Here is a 16,253-nt window from a genome sequence, read left to right on the forward strand (position 1 = left end):
CTGAAGGCCCCGGTCGCGGCAGCGCGCACTGACCTCCGCAGCTCCCGGCGGCGTCCTTCGAAGCGCGGCTGCCTGGGCCAGCCTCGGCAGGAAGCAGGACGGCGGAAACAGAACAGAGCCCGAATCTAAAGTCCTTGCCCAAATCTAAAGTGGCTACCGCAGCCCCGGCCGCTACGGCCGCAGAGACCCTCTGTGCCCTGAGTAAAGATGGCCGCCGCGGGCTGCGCGCGAGGGGCGGGGAGCGGGAGGCGGGGTCGGACCTGCACGCCCCGCCCCCGGACTCCTGGCGGCCGCTGATCCGGGGCCTTCCCATTGGTCACCTCTCGTGGCGAACTCGGATTGGGCCATATCAGGCCGGGGCGGGTCCCATCAACCAATAGCGGCGCGGGGCTGGCGGGTGGGGCGGGGCCTCGCCGGCGCCGTCAAGTAGCCTGGGGGACAGGCCGGCGCGGCTGGGAGCGGGTGGGCGGCCGGGAGGCCGGAGCAGCACGGCCGCAGGACCTGGAGCTCCGGCTGCGTCTTCCCGCAGCGCTACCCGCCATGCGCCTGCCGCGCCGGGCCGCGCTGGGGCTCCTGCCGCTTCTGCTGCTGCTGCCGCCCGCGCCGGAGGCCGCCAAGAAGCCGACGCCCTGCCACCGGTGCCGGGGGCTGGTGGACAAGTTTAACCAGGTGGGAAGGGGCCGGGCGGGGTCGTCAACCTTGGGCCCGGGGTCCCCCTCACCCTGCATCCGGGGTCGCCCCACCTTGGGCCCAGGGTCGCCCTCACCCTGGATCCGGGGTCCCCCTCACCCTGGATTCGGGATCCCCCTCACCGTCGATCCAGAGTCCCTCCACCGTGGTCCTGGAGTCCCCCTCACCCTTGACCCGGATCCACCCCCACCGTGGAACCAGGGTCGACGCCACCGTGGGCCTGGAGTCCCCTCACCCTCGACCTGGGCTCGCCCCCACCCTGGACCCGGGTCAGGTGGTACCAAGCACTATGGGCACTGTCTCCTCGCAGGGGATGGTGGACACCGCAAAGAAGAACTTTGGCGGCGGGAACACGGCTTGGGAGGAAAAGACGCTGTCCAAGTACGAGTCCAGGTGGGTGCCCTGGAGCACCCCTGTGGGTCTTGGCCTGGCGCTGTCCTGGGAAGTCGTGTCCTGCCTTTGGTGCCTGTGTTAATGACAGGGAGACAGAACAGCCCCCGAGGCACCAGTCACCCGTCCGAGTCACCTCGGCTTCTCCCTGAGGACTAATGGCTGGCCCCTCTCTGGCCTTCCAGCTTCTGCTCTGGTCCCTACCCCCTCAACAGACAGTGGCTTTTCAAAATGTAAACTGGAACACCAGCCCCACTTGTGGGAACCGCTCCTGGCTTCCCCTGACAGTGGGGTCCCCTTATTCTCTGTGCCCGGAGTCCTGGCTCCCCGGCCCCTGCACCCAGGTTGGCGTATTGGTTCGGATTTTTCTTCACTGCCTTGGAGGCGCTGACGGTGGGCCGGTGTGGGCCTGTGTTTCAGCGAGATTCGCCTGCTGGAGATCCTGGAGGGGCTGTGCGAGAGCAGCGACTTCGAATGCAATCAGATGCTAGAGGCGCAGGAGGAGCACCTGGAGGCCTGGTGGCTGCAGCTGTGAGTGCCTTAAAACCTCTTAGAAGATACTTTTTATTTTCCAACTTAGAATTTGAAATAACCTCAGACTTAGAAAGGTACAGGAACAGTAGGGAGCTCCCACCTGCCTCGCACCCACCTTACCCCTGCATTACCGTTTTTTATCACCAGAGTCAGCGATCAAAACCAGGAAATTAAGGAGAAGATTCTGTCCACACCTAGACTCTTGTTTCCTGGACCTTACAATACTCCAGAGCATATGTTACGTTCAGCTGCATGTTTGTTTTAAAGAACCGTGTCTGCTGGGATTCAGTGAATGTTTTCCTCCATCCTCAGGAAGAGCGAATATCCTGACTTATTCGAGTGGTTTTGTGTGAAGACACTGAAAGTGTGCTGCTCTCCAGGAACCTACGGTCCCGACTGTCTCGGTGCGTTTCTCCTCAGGGAAATCCCATCTCCTACGTCACTTCCCCTCTTCTTCTCATGATTCTTGGGAGGTAAAAGCACAGAGGGGACCTGGGGTGCATCAGCTTTCTGTAGGGTCTGGGACCCTGCCGGATGGCTGCCTCCCCCATCCCCAACACAGCTTGGAGCACTTCGCACCGTCTGGCTGCAGCCTCACCACTAACCTCATGCTTTAGCGTAAAACTCTGAGTATGTCTTCCCAGCTGTGCTGTTAATTCAGGGGTTCACAGACTCAGGTTGTTCACAGCTGAGTCCACTCACCTGAGAGTCTGTCCTGACTGACCTGTCCAGGTGCTTCTCCCTGTGTGCACAGAGGTGACCACACCACAACTTCTGTGGCTGCTATTGCAGAGAGCGCAGGGCACTGGGTGTCTATCAGGCTGGGCACATGGCCTTGAGCCCCAATGGGTGCCAAGGGACAGGGCTCTTCTGTGAAGAAGTGTGCATTGAAACTGAAGTCACGGTTTACTGTTTATAAAAGCCAATCTCGTGGTCAAGCGAGATCAGGTAGCAGAAGTTTCAGGTTCAGACCCCCCACCCGCCCACCATCAGCCTTCTGCCAGCCCCTGCTGCTGTCCCTGGCATGCACTGGAGGCCGCAGCTAATGTTCCCACTCTCCCTGCAGTCCCCGCGCCTGACGCGTCAGTGTCCCTATCACCATGTTTCAGCTGAGGCTGCCCAAAGCCACACAAAGTGCAGTCATGTGTAACGACCAGGCGTGTTCTGAGAAATGCGTCATTAGGCGACTTTGTCATGGTGCAAACATCACAGCGTGCACTCCACACGCCACACGCCACACGCCTAGATGGTGCAGCCGCTCTGCACCTAGGCTGCCTGGCAGGCCCTGCTGCTCCCAGGCCGCACACCTGCACGGCTCGTGAGGGTCCTGAGTACTGTGGGCCATTTGGCACGTGGTAAGAATGTGTCACCTGAACACATCTAAACATAGAACAGGTAATGAGGCACATTGTGATGTCACTAGGCAATAAGAGCCGCTCAGCTTTAGTATCATCTTAGGGGACAGCTGTGCTATGCAGGGTCCCTTGTTGACCTAAACGTCATCATGCAGCACGTGGCCATAGTGAAGCCCAGGAGCCTGTGGCTTGCTCCACTCAGGCGATCCACCGCCAGCCCTGCAGACCCAGGAAATCAGTTTCCCCAAACACCCACTCCAAGCCTTCAGGCTCATGTACGTCCTCAGAATCGTACAGGGTTTGGGTGCCATGCGTTCTCTCCGTGTGAGAACACCGCACCGGTCACCACCAGGTGTGCTCTGAGCATGGTTTTGTGTCCCCTAAAGCATGCCAGGGCGGATCCCAGAGGCCCTGCAGCGGGAATGGCCACTGCAGCGGAGATGGGAGCAGACAGGGCGACGGGTCCTGCCGGTGCCACATGGGGTACCAGGGCCCGCTGTGCACTGACTGCATGGACGGCTACTTCAGCTCGCTCCGGAACGAGACCCACAGCATCTGCACAGGTACGGGCTACGCCTGGGCTGGCCCCGGGGTTGAGGCGGGATGACAAGAGCCCCTTGCTGGAGCTGCCTGCCTAGATGGGAACAGGGGCCTGTTGATCTTTAACCCCAGATGTCCAAGGAAGCTTCGAGGGCCCAGAAGGATGAATGAAAACATCAGAGGATAGAGGCAGAGGTTGTCGGGCACTTCCTGTCCCGTAACAGCCCTCAGAAGGGAGAAGCTACTCACCTTTCTCTCTAGTTCAAGGTCCACCCCGACCTTGAGTTGTGATGGGCCATGCAGTGCACAGGTCCTGGAGGTGCCGTGTGGGCCCCGCACCGGCCCAGAGAGCAGCATCTGTCAAATCCCTGCAGGCCGTTATGAGTGGCATCTTTCCAAAGGACGTTTTCTCCCTGGTTGTCACTGATATGTAGGAAAACTCTGAGTGTCTCGGACGTGAGTGTGTGGTTGGCCGGCAGCCCCTAGGCTATTCTGGGCAGACAGACCCGTGGATCGATAGTCAGGACCGGCCTCTCCGATTCTTACGCCCCTCAGCAGTCAGGACCGGCCTCTCCGATTCTTACCCGCCTTGCTGTCTGTCTCTTGGATGTTGGCGTGGCGTGGGCCACGCATGGATCCGTGGCCGGAACACGCACACCCAGCCAGGCTACAGCTCCAGAGTATGGATAGCTGCCTTCTCTCCAGGTTATTAAAAATTCCTTGGAGTCCTGGTTTGCTGAGAATTTTAAATTCATGGGCACTGAAAATCCCGTGTTGCTTTTCCCTCTTAAATTCCTCACTTTTAAACGAGCCTTGTCCCCAAGCTGGTACCTGAGAGTGGGGTTTGTACCCAGGCCCGCCTTTGCCTTCCAGCCTGTGACGAGTCCTGCAAGACGTGCTCGGGCCTGACCAACAGAGACTGCGGCGAGTGTGAAGTGGGCTGGGTGCTGGACGAGGGCGCCTGTGTGGGTGAGGAGCGGCCCGGGGGTGGAGGAGGGCGCCTGCGTGAGGCGTGGGGGGTGTGAGATGGGGGCGTAAGGCGTGGGGGGTGTGAGGCATGGGGGCGGGAGGCAGGGGGGCGTGAAGTGTGGGGGCGTGAGGTGGGGGCGTGAGGTGTGGGGCTTGGGGTGTGGGGGGCGTGAGGTGTGGGGGAGCATGAGGTGGGGCGTGAGGTGTGGGGGCGTGAGGTGGGGGCGTGAGGTGTGGGGGCACTCACTGTCTCACTCTCACACAATGTGTCGCCATCCTCATGGGGCGCCTGCCCCGGTTGGCACTGAGTGTCTAAGGACAGGGCCTGGCCATCGCCTCATCCCCTCCCCTGCCGCGTGGGGCCTCCGAGGATGGCATTTGAGATGATTCCTCCTCAGGGGCTGCCCTCCTCCCTGCCCTTCCCCAGCCGGCCCTGGCCACGGGCTGTGTCAGGCCATGATCGGTCCTTCCCCGCTCCCTGGCCGGGCTGTCCTGGGCCGCTCACAGCTGTGCCGCTCTGTTCCAGATGTGGACGAGTGTGCGGCCGAGCCGCCTCCCTGCAGCGCTGCGCAGTTCTGTAAGAACGCCAACGGCTCCTACACGTGCGAAGGTGGGCCAGGCGGGCGGGTCTGCACTCCGGGGCCTGCCGGGTTTCGTTGCTGCCTTTGTCAACATTCATTTATGGCTTCTTAGTGTCACTTCCATACATCCTGCCTGCCCTGAGAACACTTAGTGTGGCAAAGTAAGTCATAGGTATTTGCTGCAGGAAAATCAGAAAATTCAAGTCAGATGAAAAGAAAACAGTTAAAAACCCAGGAACTCCCTGGAGAGCGCACCCTGCTGGTGCCTCCACTGCTCGTGCCCCCCCAGCGCCCCCGCAACGTGCCCTGCGTGACTTTCCGCAGCGCCTGTCGGGTGTTTTCCACTCAGCAGCTTGTTGCGAACGTCTCTGCGTCCTGTGGTTTCTCTGTCACGCTAATGATTTTGGAGCCATTATTTCATACTTTTACAACAATGTCTGTTGCTGGACGTTTACGTCATAACAGTTTTTCAACTTATAAACTGTGAACACTTGAAGGTAAACTTTTCACATTCCTTATGATTTTCTGTGGATTAATTTCCAAATCGCTCAGTCAAGGGAATGTGTCTTTTAGAGCCATAGTGCCCCAGAAAAGTTGTGCTGATCCCCAGTCCCAGCAGCAGGGAGGAGGCCGCCTCTGCCCCGTGTGTGTGACAGCCCCAGGCAGTTTTCACTGTTGGGAGTGCAGACAGTGGGTCCCTCAGTGAGCCACTAATACTGGAAGCCATGCGAGAGGCTCTGGTTATTCTTAGGAAGCTCCTGGCAGGCTGGCAAACCAATGGTCACCGAGCTGGAGGTGGGTTTGTTTCTAGAATCTCTGTAGCACCCAGTTTCTCCCAAAGAGTTCCAAGCCAGGTGGTCTGCACCATGGCTCTCCGGGAGCACCTGCTGCACAGCAGGACGCGAGTCTGTGCTTTTGCCGGGAGACAGAGACAGATCGTTATAAAGTCACTTGGTGATGAATGAGGAGAAAACCCAAATCCTGGCGGCACCGGTGCCTTGTGCATGTCGGGGTCTGACGGGCACTGGTGCCTTGTGCATGTCGGGGTCTGACGCTGGCTCCCTGTTGCAGAGTGTGACTCCAGCTGTGTGGGCTGCACAGGGGAAGGCCCAGGAAACTGTAAAGAGTGTATCTCTGGCTACGCGAGGGAGCACGGACAGTGTGCAGGTCAGTGACGGGGTCTGTGCTGGACGCTGGTGGACCCTTCCCAAGTGACCATGATGTGAATGGCCCCAGCAGGTACTGCCAGGGATGGGAAGCAGTTGAGACCCGTCCTGCAGACGTGGCTCCCCCAGGGTCACTGTGCACTCGCCCTGAGGTCCACGTGAGACACAGAAGCAGTGGGGGTGGGGGACGGGCTCTGCATGGCCGACCCTGGTGTGGATGGCGCTGCTGCACCAGCCTCTCGCCGGTGGCCTCGTTCCCCAGGTCCACCGCCTCTGCTCTCCCTCCAGCTCCTGGGTGGCGATTGCCCCGAGGCTTAAGTCCAGGCCTGCCATGGTTGTGGGCTGCCTGGGTGAGCCTGGGCGTGGATGGAACCCGGTGGAGAAAGTGGGTTTCCTGGGCAGGCGCCATGGTTCATGCCTGTAATCCAGCACTTTGGGAGGCTGAGGCGGGGGGATCACGAGGTCAGGAGATCGAGACCATCCTGGCTAACACGGTGAAACCCCATCTCTACTAAAAATACAAAAAATTAGTCGGGCGTGGTGGCGGGCGCCTGTAGTCCCAGCTACTCGGGGGGCTGAGGCAGCAGAATGGCGTGAACCCGGGAGGCGGAGCTTGCAGTGAGAGGAGATCGCGCCACCGCACTCCAGCCTGGGCGACAGAGCGAGACTCCGCCTCAAAAAAAAAAAAAAAAGGAAAAGAAAGTGGGCTTCCTGGGCGCATGCTGGCCTTCCGGCCCCACCTGGAGGTCTCTTCTCTGCATTTTCTACCAGTTGAGGGCCCAACTTGGAGACGTGAAATTCTTCCCTCTCGAAGCCTTTCCTGATCTTTGCTCCTTTCTGTAACGTGACGTTTGTCATCGTTGTGCTTTCTTTATGTGAATGAATCTGAATGAATGAATTTCATAATCCGCTGCGCGTCTGCTGAGCAAAGTAATTATTAAAACGGAGTCTTTTCATTTTAGATGTGGACGAGTGCTCACTAGCAGAAAAAACCTGTGTGAGGAAAAACGAAAACTGCTACAATACTCCAGGGAGCTACGTCTGTGTGTGTCCTGACGGCTTCGAAGAAACGGAAGATGCCTGTGTGCCGCCGGCAGAGGCTGGTGAGTGGCACGGCTGCCCTCCACACAGGCTGCCCTCCCCTGGGCCGCAGGGCTTGCACGTAGACTGGCTGCTTGGTCTGAAATCCACACAGATGGTGGCCTTGAGATGGTGAGAGGGGGATTCCCGGAAGACAGGTGCATGACATCTCTGTGTGGGCACGCTTGCGCGAGAGGTACTGGCTTCCTGAGGATGAAGCCCCAGGTTCACAGCTCAAACGGAAGTTCAGGCGATGAAGGGGGAAGTCTCTGAAGCTCAGACCTCAGCGGGCGATGAGCAGAGGAGCAGACGCAGGAGAAGAGGCAGCTAAAGAGCTGGAAAAGTCATCCGGGGAAGCTGCCCAGGGTGCCGCAGAGACAGGGACAGGCAGGAAGTGGTGGAGGGCAAGCGGGTCCCCCACACCTGTTTCCTGGGGCTACCTTACCAAGAACCAGGAACTTAGGGCTCCAGCAACAGAAATGTGCCGCTCACAGGAGCCAGAAGTCAGAGGCCCAGACGCAAGCAGGCTGCTTCCTTGGGAGGCTGGGTGGGCGCGTCTGTTCCGGGCCTCTGTCCTCGCCTGGGGATGCCACCTGCTCCCCGTGTCTTCACGTGGTCTCCATGCGGGTGTCTGTCTCTGTCCAAACCTCCCCTCTTTGTAAGGACACCAGTCACTAATGCCCTCATGTTAACCTGGCCAGTGGTAAAGACCCTATTTCCAAACAAGGTCACAATCACAGGTACTGGGAGTAAAGACTTCAGCGTGTTTTGGGGGACATAAATCTGCCCGTGACAGTCCTCACAGAAGTCTAGAATATAGAGAGTGGGAAAGAAGCAGTGTTCAAGGAGATATTGGCTAAGGGTTTTTCAGAATGAATAAGGCACGATTCAGATTCCAGAAGCTGTTTCCTGAGCAGGACAAATAAAAGCAATTCCACATCTAGAAGCATCGTAGTAAACAGCAACAGCAAGACAGAACTGAGGGGTTAGCAGAGACGGACAGGCCAGAAGACAAGGCTGCCTGCTACCCCCTCGGTCCCCTCTGCCCTGGGCTGGCCCTGCCTCTTGCCCCTCCCTCCCCCCACCCTCGGTCCCCTCTTGCCCCTCCCTCCCACCACCCTGGGTCCCCTCTTGCCCCTCCCTCCCCCCACCCCGGGTCCCCTCTTGCCCCTCCCTCCCCCCCTCTTGCCCCTCCCTCCCCCCACCCCGGGTCCCCTCTTGCCCCTCCCTCCCCCCACCCCGGGTCCCCTCTTGCCCCTCCCTCCCCCCACCCCGGGTCCCCTCTTGCCCCTCCCTCCCCCCCGTCCCCTCATTCTCCTCCCTCCCCCCCACCCTCGGTCCCCTCTTGCCCCTCCCTCCCCGTACCACCCTCAGTCCCCTCTTTCTCCTACCTCCCCCACCCTCGGTCCCCTCTTTCTCCTCCCGCCACAACCATTGTTCAGGCTCCCATTCTGCCAGGCCGCAAGGAACCCCTTGCCGCTCCCAACTCTGCATCCTCCACACCCACGGCAGCGTGGGGGCTCTGAAATGCCGTCTGCCTCATCTCTCATCTGCTTTGTGGGAAACGGGGGTCTCCGAGCTGCCCTTGGATGGCTGCGTCCGGGGCTTTGAGCCAGGACTGGACGGGCAGGCCCTGCACATGCGCTGCTGTCCTGGGAAAGGCCTCATCCCCAGGGCCCTTTGTGCTCAGCCTTGACGACCTATGCTTGTTTTCTGACAGAAGCCACAGAAGGAGAAAGCCCGACACAGCTGCCCTCCCGCGAAGACCTGTAATGTGCCGGACTTACCCTTTAAATTATTCAGAAGGATGTCCCGTGGAAAATGTGGCCCTGAGGATGCCGTCTCCTGCAGTGGACAGCGGCGGGGAGAGGCTGCCTGCTCTCTAACGGTTGATTCTCATTTGTCCCTTAAACAGCTGCATTTCTTGGTTGTTCTTAAACAGACTTGTATATTTTGATACAGTTCTTTGTAATAAAATTGACCATTGTAGGTAATCAGGAGGAGAACGGGCGTGGGTTTGTCTCATTAATCAGGACGGACCTTTACCACTGAGTTTGCACCTGTCCTGCCAGAGCCGGGAGTGACCAGGGCTGCCGAGGTCCGCAGAGGCAGCAGGTCCGGTCCTGGGCTGGTGGCTCTGCTGTCCCTGAACAGGGCTCACGTGCCGCTTGGGGGAGGAGGGGAGGGCCCTGCCTTGGGCGAGAACCTGAAGACGTGACCAGGTGGGTTTCAGGGGTCCAACCTATGGGCCCTCTTCAGTGATTCAAAGGATGTACAAGCAGGGACCCTCAGGCAGGGGAAAAGCATCTTTGGGGGCTTCGCTGGAGGAAACAGCCACTCACAAACCGCAGGGCCTGCCCGTTCCTCATCTGGGAATGAAGACACTGCAAGAAGAAAGCTGGCTGCGGGTGAGAGGCTGCAGGCTCTGGGAGCTCCGTTCCGGGGGGCCATGGCCTCCTCCCTGGGCTCCTCATAGCCCCCAAGTCCCACTTGGCCTGGTCCCCACCACCCACTCCTCAGTCACGCCGCCCCTCCTGTCGCCTCCCCGCGCCACCCCGCCGATGCCGCCAGTGGTAGGTGGCTGTCCTGCTCCTGCCCTGGCCCCCCCTTCCCAGGCCGTGCACCATCCTGGCACTACTGACCTCCATGTCCACACTGTTCTGTACCCACGAACCCCATCTCAGTGCACCTATGCTCACTGGGCCCCAGGTGGTCACGCTTACCTGGGTATTGGAAGAGCCCCTGTGGTAGGACTCTGCCCCGTGGGTCCCCGGCCCGCAGAGGCAGCCACAGCCCACTTGGGCAGGCTGAGTGGTGCCTGGCCCTGCATCTCGCCTCTGGCTCTTCCTGAGTCAGTTGCACTCAGCAGCCTCACGGCCTCTCCCTTTCTCCCTCTAACCCTAGGCCAGGGTGCCCCAAATCCCTAGAGGGGGCACAGCTCAGCTTAGGCGAGGTGGGGGCTGCTCTTGTCCACTTCAGCCCTCTCAGGCAGTTTCCGCTTCATGTGCTGATGGGACCACCTAGAGATGAGGTCCTGACGGTGCAGACCAAGGGCAGAGGCCAGAGGGGCGGGGGCTGGGTGGGCCCTTGGGGGGCTCAGAAAGTGGGATCAGAGCATGGTGGAGAGTCCACAGGGATGGCCGTGGAAAGAAGTAGGGAAACACCAGCTGAGTCCCTGGGGGGCCGAGCACCTGAGTCTCCCGTGGGAGGGTGGAGCCACCCACGGGTGGGTGGGAACTAGGCGACCCCAGCGGGAAGCCCAGAAGGCAGGCCTTGTCCCTGGGGGGTACCTGGGGGAGGAAGAGAGGGCGTAGCCAGGGAAGAGGACGCCCCAGGGGAGAAGAGGAGCCAGGCAGGGGCTGGCCCAGGGCCACCTTGTGCACCCTCACGTGCATGGACAGCGGCGGTACAGGCGCCTCCCATGTCCCGCGCGTCCCTGCCCGGCTCAGACCTGCGGAGCCGCCGTTGATCAGGTGGGACCGCGGCCAGGTCTGGGACCCCCGCCCCATCTTCCAGCCGGGACCTCTGTCCTGCTCCTGCCCTGGCCCCCCCTTCCCAGGCTGTGCACCGTCCTGGCACTACTGACCCGCACGTCCACGCTGGAGACGGCGACCCTCCTGGGCCCGGGGAGTCGAGGACGGGAGGTGTACAGGACAGGGGCCGCGGTTCCGGACGTTGGGAGCAGGACCCCGGGCGCGCATATCCACTTTGTCGCCAGTGAACGCTAGGGAGTCCTCGGAGGGGGGTCGGGGCCAGGCCAGGAGAGGTGCCCGCGGGACACGGGGGACGGGGACTGGGGGGGGCGGTTGAGCAGGAATGGGGGACGACCCCGCAAGACCCTGCGGCAGGGCCGAGGCGAGGGCGCAGGCAGGGTCCTTGGAACCGCGGGGCTGGGGTCCACCTGCCCGGGTGCTCGAGGGGCGCCTGCGGGGCTGGGGCTGGGGCTGGGGCTGGGGCCGGGACCGGGAGCGCCGCCTCCTGGGGGGGCTCTGATCCGCCCCTCCCCACGCGGCGCCGCCCGCGCCCCGCCCGCTCCCGCCGGACACAGCGGACCCTGCCTCGGATCGCGACCCCTGCCCGGGCCCAGCAGGTGGACCGCGAGGCCGCGCGAGGTACCGCCCCTCGGAGCCGCCCGGCCTGGGTCGGGGACCGGGACGCGCGCGGCCAGCAGGTGGCGCTGTGGGACCGCCCTGCTCGGCCCGGCTCCCGGGACTCGGCCGGCCCCTGCCCGCTGCACCTGCCCCGTCACACCTCGGCGCTGCCGGGGCGTCTTTCTAAAAGGGGAACTTGGAAGGGGGAGGTTGGGGTGAACTGTGGACCTCCGCTGTCCTTCTGGGCCCAGGCAGAGACCCTGCCATAGCCCTGGGGGAGTCCCACCCTCTGGGAGCCAGGACTGGGGTCTGCAGGGCCGAGAGGGCCTCCACTTTGGTTCCCAGACCCCGGCATCTTGCTTTGGCACATACGCAGGTCCTGGAGATGGCTTCCATCCCCACAGGGCACTCCTTGTCAGGCTAGAAGCTTCTAGAAGTGCCCCCTGGTCAAGCCCACCCCTGGCTTTGCTGTAAACGCGTCCCTTGGTCGAATGCAACAGACAGTGGGCGGGATCCGCAGGATGAGACGTTCTGTGAGCCAGCGGTTCTCAACAGGCAGCTGTTGTGTCCTCCAGGGGACAGGGGACCGCCTCTGGAGGTGCTGTGGGTTGTCACGACCTGGTGAGGAGTGCTTCTGCCAGGGCACAGGACACCCTGCCACAGAGGATGGCCCCCACCAGAGGACAAGCCAGCTCCCGCTGCCACCAAGGCAGACAGATGCTCACAGCAGTCCCTGGACAGGGGCCTGGACCTCAGCCAAGGCATGTTAGACAGGGAGGCGGCCATGGTGTGAACGTGGGTCTGCTCTGGGAACACGAATCATGGGGTGGGGTCCGCGCAGGCCGGGACCACCTATGCGTGCTGCGTCCTGCTGTCCTGGATGTACCACATCCCCCTGAAGATGACCGTTGCCTGCTCAACCTCATGACAGGGCCGGTCTAATAGCCAGTGCCAGCGGGCAAGGCAGAGACACAGCCATGGGGCATCCCATGGCCAGGCTGTGCATCTCCACAGGGGCCCAGAACCACAGCAGGAGTCCTCGACGCAGGCACACACTGAGGATGGCATGGGCCTCCTCTGCACTGTGTTTGGGGAGGGTCTTCCACAGGCACTTGACCTTAACCCCTCCTTTACCACCCGTGCCTTTGGTCTGCAGAGTCAGATCGTAAGTAGCAGCCGGGACACCGGAGTTGGGCTTGGACGGCGGTGGAGCTGGTCCTGCTCTGTGCCTGTTCAGAGCTGTCCTTTTGTGTCCCCCAGTATTGGGTTGGAACAGAGTCCCCAAATGTGGAACATACTGTTCCAGCTCCCAGAAGCCTTCCAGGTGCCGTGTGTCCTGGCGGGGGCTGCAAGAGGCAGCCACTTATCTGTCCTCTGCTTTGGAGGGGATTTTCTCGCTCAGGAGGGCCCAGTGTGCTCACCATGTCTTGGTCATCTGGTCTCATTAGCACAGCACCATCGATAGAGGGGGCCAGTGTGACATCCTGGGGACATTCATTCAGCTGGTGCCAGTCTCTGGATTATTGTGAGAGAGGGCAGGAACGTTACCATAGCCCTGGGGAGGAACTGAGTGTTTCCTGTTTTGAGTTCCAAGGCAGTGTGACTGATCTTCCTGCCAGACAGGAGATGGAGAAGAATGCACACCCAGCAGTGGCCTCACTGCACACCTGGGGCTGGGGAGCCTTCTCTAGCAAAGGCGCCACATCTAGCTGGGTTGTTTTTGCAACAGTCCACTCTCCTCCAGGACCCACCCACCTGCCTTTTGCAGTGGTCAGATTGGTGGAATAAAAGGAGATCCTTGGCCGGGCATGGTGGCTCACGCCACTGTATTCCTAGCACTTTGGGAGGCCAAGGTAGGTGGATCACCTGAGGTCAGGAGTTCCAGACCAGGAACATGGCAAAACCCCATCTCTACTAAAAATACAAAAATTAGCCAGGCACGGCGGCAGGCACCTGTAATCCCATCAACTCAGGAGGCTGAGGCAAGAGAACCACTGGGACTCGAGAGGCGGAGGCTGCAGTGAGCCGAGATCGCTCTGCTGCACTCCAGTCTGGGTGACAGAGCGAGACTCCGTCTCAAAAAAAAAAAAAAAAGGAGATCCTTGCATTCTTTTAGATCTTTAGATGTGTCCCTAGTTTCCCCCAGTTTTGATTTACTATTTTGGGTGGGGATGGTCACAGATTTGCACTGGACTTACCCATTATGATGGCCAAGGAAATGGTGTCTACCATCAAGAATGTCAGCTCCATCCGTCCTGTGACTGGGGAAATGACCCACTGGATGAATGTGCAGACTCGAGGCTGGTGGATCAGACCTGGCCCGAATTCCACTGCTTCCCTGGCTCCTGTCAGCCCCTCGCTCTAACGGGAGCCATGAGGATGCTTCAGGCCTTCAGATGCCAGCATCACTCAAACCCTGTGTCCAGCACTTCTGAAGATGTGTGCGTATTTCCGTTGCACTGTGTCTGGTTACCGAGGTCGGCGGCCACAGGCCGTCTGGTGGTGGTGGCGGGCGGGGGCGGGGGCAGGGGGCCAGAATCATCATGGTGTGGATTTGCCTTGGCGTTGCACATCTTCCTCTTAGGGACTCAGCCTTCACTTTAGTGAGATTTCTCTGGGTCAGAAACCCACTCAGGTCTAGAAACTGGGCAGCGTCATGACTTTTTATTTATTTATTTATTTATTTATTTTTATTTATTTGAGATGGAGTCTGGCTCTGTCACCCAGGCTGGAGTGCAGTGGCGCGATCTCGGCTCACTGCAAGCTCCACCTCCCGGGTTCACACTACTCTCCTGCCTCAGCCTCCCGAGTAGCTGGGACTACAGGCGCCTGCCACCACGCCCGGCTAATTTTTTGCATTTTTAGTAGAGACGGGGGTCTCGCCGTGTTAGCCAGGATGGTCTCGATCTCCTGACCTCGTGATCCACCCGCCTCGGCCTCCCAAAGTGCTGGGATTACAGGTGTGAGACACAGCACCCGGCCCTATTTATGTATTTTTGAGACAGAATCTCACTCTGTAGCCCAGGCTGACAGTGCAGTGGCGCGATCTCGGCTCACTGCAGCCTCTGCCTCCCGGATTCAAGTGATTCTCCTGCCTCAGCCTCCCGAGTAGCTGGGATTACAGGCATGCACCACCACGCCCGGCTAATTTTTGTATTTTTAGTAGAGATGGGGGTTTCACCACATTGGTCAGGCTGGTCTTGAACTCCTGACCTCGTGATCCGCCCACCTCGGCTTCCTAAAGTGCTGGGATTACAGGCGTGAGCCACCACGCCCGGCCTTATTTATCTATTTTCAAGAAAGAGTCTCTCTGTGTTGCCCAGGCTAGAGTGCGGTGGTGTGATCTCAGGTCACTGCAACCTCTGTCTCCCAGGTTTAAGCAATTCTCCTGCCTCAGCCTCCCGAGTAGCTGAGATTACAGGCACCTGCCACCACGCCCAGCTAACTGTTGTATTTTTAGTAGAGATGGGGTTTCACTATGTTGAGCAGGCTGCTCTTGAACTCCCGACCTCAAAGTGATCCACCTGCCTTGGCCTCGCAGAGTGCTGGGATTACAGGCTTGAGCCACCACGACCGGCCCTGACTTTTTATTGGAGCGAGTACCCTTGACCTCCGCATCACACAACCCTAATATATTTTGCTCCAACAAGCTGAGCAGTCTCTTGTGGGCTGCCTGTCCCTCTCCCAGGAACATGCTGTTCTATCAGCCACCTCCACAACCCCACGCAGCTCTGACCCTGGGCCCGCTCCAGCCCTGCAACTCATTAGAGAGCTGCCTTCACAGCCACTGATGGTCAAATGCTGCTGCCTGGCCATCACCCCCGTCCCTGTCAGCCAGTCCAGTGCTGTGACCGTCCCCTGCTCTCAGTTCCAGAGGACAGCTGGGATCTGTGGTGCCACATGACTTTCAGCCCCTGTCTGCGGTGGCTGTTCTGACATTCACCCCTCCTCACGTGTGTCCCACACTCCAGGAGCCTCTGGGCCGTGAAACAGAGCAGCAGAGGACACCGCCTCCTGGGGTCCTAGTCCTCAGAAAAGGGCCCACAACCCGTCAGCTCTCCGCCGTCCACCACATGCAGCTTATCTGGCTGGGCACGGCTTCGGGTCCCGGGCTCCTTCAGGCTGTGGCCCCTTTGTCACTGGGCCAGCACATCCCCACCAGGATACACTGCAACTTAATCCCAGGAGGGTCTCGGGCAGGTCCTGGGTAATCCCAGGAGGGTCTCGGGCAGGTCCTGGGGAGCCGGGGCAGGGGGCCGGCCTCTCCCACGGAGGAGGCACGGTTTGGAGACATCCTGTTTCTTCCCAGCCAGCACCGAGGCCGGGGCACAGCAGACCCCCGGGGATGGGGTCACCTATTGGTGGCCCCTCTGGTCACTGAGTCTGTGCGTGTTCTCCTGGCCTCTCCATGCAGCCTTCTGTTGTTTTTCCAGAGCTTCAGGGGCGGGCACCAGCAGCCCCCCGAGGACACTGTTCTCAAGGTTGTGCCCCCTGGACTCTCACCCCAGGCTCACCCACCCCAAGAGTGCAGGCCCCTTCCCGTCGCGTCCACCGCCAGTGGTGCCCGCTGGACAGAGTGCCTTTGCCTGTACACCTCCCTGGCGCTGCCTGTCTGTGGCTGGCTCCAGAGTGGCAGGCGGTCTTGGCGCCTCAGCCATGTCCTCAGCTGACCTGGGGGCTGGGTGAGGTGAGGCACCCTGAGACTTCTTCAGCGTGCTGAGCTGTGAGGAGGGGGCTGGGCCTTTGGCCACCACAGGATGACTCAAAGGGTGTGGCCTTCAGTGGGGTGCTCTCCTCAGCCTGCCCCTGCTGCTCCCTCAGCCCCCCGGTCCGGCTCTGTCCCTTTTCAGACTCCCA

General features: G+C 60.3%; 2 protein-coding genes across 11 annotated transcripts in view, besides 10 other annotated features; one reads left to right on the forward strand and one right to left on the reverse strand.

Annotated features, from left to right (window-relative positions):
- ALG12 (ALG12 alpha-1,6-mannosyltransferase) overlaps positions 1-209 on the reverse strand; it is a 59,128-nt gene extending 58,919 nt beyond the window's left edge. For all 3 annotated transcript variants that reach the window (XM_017028936.2, XM_017028937.2, NM_024105.4), the window contains exon 1: positions 34-209. The gene's annotated coding sequence lies outside the window, so the exon portion shown is untranslated. The remainder of the gene's footprint in view (positions 1-33) is intronic.
- Positions 109-608: a silencer, noted in NCBI's record as "silent region_13929". NCBI's record gives its function as "represses an Ori minimal core promoter by ATAC-STARR-seq in GM12878 lymphoblastoid cells {active_cell/tissue: GM12878}" and the evidence as "EXISTENCE:reporter gene assay evidence [ECO:0000049][PMID:35858748]".
- CRELD2 (CRELD disulfide isomerase 2) lies at positions 405-9,308 on the forward strand. Of its 8 annotated transcripts, none has more exons than XM_005261737.4 (11): positions 405-669; positions 1,001-1,083; positions 1,501-1,611; positions 1,927-2,018; positions 3,356-3,532; positions 4,065-4,214; positions 4,383-4,478; positions 5,005-5,088; positions 6,131-6,226; positions 7,188-7,328; positions 9,026-9,308. In XM_005261737.4, the coding sequence occupies exons 1-11, from the start codon at positions 541-543 to the stop codon at positions 9,076-9,078; spliced, it is 1,212 nt and encodes a 403-aa protein (XP_005261794.1). In that variant the 5' UTR covers positions 405-540; the 3' UTR covers positions 9,079-9,308. The 8 variants fall into 8 exon arrangements, 7 of the variants coding, with proteins under 7 accessions (XP_005261794.1, NP_001128573.1, NP_077300.3 ...); NM_001135101.3 differs by having other exon boundaries at positions 4,068-4,214; NR_104295.2 differs by lacking the exon at positions 4,065-4,214 and having other exon boundaries at positions 5,005-5,231.
- Positions 4,561-5,131: an enhancer, noted in NCBI's record as "H3K4me1 hESC enhancer chr22:50316438-50317008 (GRCh37/hg19 assembly coordinates)". NCBI's record gives its function as "activates a minimal SCP1, AML or CMV promoter by ChIP-STARR-seq in primed H9 embryonic stem cells {active_cell/tissue: H9 hESC(primed)}" and the evidence as "EXISTENCE:reporter gene assay evidence [ECO:0000049][PMID:30033119]".
- Positions 5,132-5,701: an enhancer, noted in NCBI's record as "H3K4me1 hESC enhancer chr22:50317009-50317578 (GRCh37/hg19 assembly coordinates)". NCBI's record gives its function as "activates a minimal SCP1, AML or CMV promoter by ChIP-STARR-seq in primed H9 embryonic stem cells {active_cell/tissue: H9 hESC(primed)}" and the evidence as "EXISTENCE:reporter gene assay evidence [ECO:0000049][PMID:30033119]".
- Positions 5,276-5,475: an enhancer, noted in NCBI's record as "active region_19283". NCBI's record gives its function as "activates an Ori minimal core promoter by ATAC-STARR-seq in GM12878 lymphoblastoid cells {active_cell/tissue: GM12878}" and the evidence as "EXISTENCE:reporter gene assay evidence [ECO:0000049][PMID:35858748]".
- Positions 7,112-7,341: an enhancer, noted in NCBI's record as "active region_19284". NCBI's record gives its function as "activates an Ori minimal core promoter by ATAC-STARR-seq in GM12878 lymphoblastoid cells {active_cell/tissue: GM12878}" and the evidence as "EXISTENCE:reporter gene assay evidence [ECO:0000049][PMID:35858748]".
- Positions 7,422-7,501: an enhancer, noted in NCBI's record as "active region_19285". NCBI's record gives its function as "activates an Ori minimal core promoter by ATAC-STARR-seq in GM12878 lymphoblastoid cells {active_cell/tissue: GM12878}" and the evidence as "EXISTENCE:reporter gene assay evidence [ECO:0000049][PMID:35858748]".
- Positions 7,602-7,701: an enhancer, noted in NCBI's record as "active region_19286". NCBI's record gives its function as "activates an Ori minimal core promoter by ATAC-STARR-seq in GM12878 lymphoblastoid cells {active_cell/tissue: GM12878}" and the evidence as "EXISTENCE:reporter gene assay evidence [ECO:0000049][PMID:35858748]".
- Positions 7,712-7,841: an enhancer, noted in NCBI's record as "active region_19287". NCBI's record gives its function as "activates an Ori minimal core promoter by ATAC-STARR-seq in GM12878 lymphoblastoid cells {active_cell/tissue: GM12878}" and the evidence as "EXISTENCE:reporter gene assay evidence [ECO:0000049][PMID:35858748]".
- Positions 11,341-11,600: a silencer, noted in NCBI's record as "silent region_13930". NCBI's record gives its function as "represses an Ori minimal core promoter by ATAC-STARR-seq in GM12878 lymphoblastoid cells {active_cell/tissue: GM12878}" and the evidence as "EXISTENCE:reporter gene assay evidence [ECO:0000049][PMID:35858748]".
- Positions 12,337-12,386: an enhancer, noted in NCBI's record as "active region_19288". NCBI's record gives its function as "activates an Ori minimal core promoter by ATAC-STARR-seq in GM12878 lymphoblastoid cells {active_cell/tissue: GM12878}" and the evidence as "EXISTENCE:reporter gene assay evidence [ECO:0000049][PMID:35858748]".

This window comes from Homo sapiens, chromosome 22 (assembly GCF_000001405.40).
Source record: "Homo sapiens chromosome 22, GRCh38.p14 Primary Assembly".
Lineage (NCBI taxonomy): Eukaryota > Metazoa > Chordata > Mammalia > Primates > Hominidae > Homo > Homo sapiens.

Bases quoted from the DNA above. Each gene is read 5' to 3' on its own strand.
- CRELD2 (XM_005261737.4), top strand. From the start codon at position 541: ATGCGCCTGCCGCGCCGGGCCGCGCTGGGGCTCCTGCCGCTTCTGCTG. The intron at 2,019-3,355 runs GTGCGTTTCTCC...TGTCCCCTAAAG, and splicing joins CTACGGTCCCGACTGTCTCG to CATGCCAGGGCGGATCCCAG. The intron at 5,089-6,130 runs GTGGGCCAGGCG...TCCCTGTTGCAG, and splicing joins CGGCTCCTACACGTGCGAAG to AGTGTGACTCCAGCTGTGTG.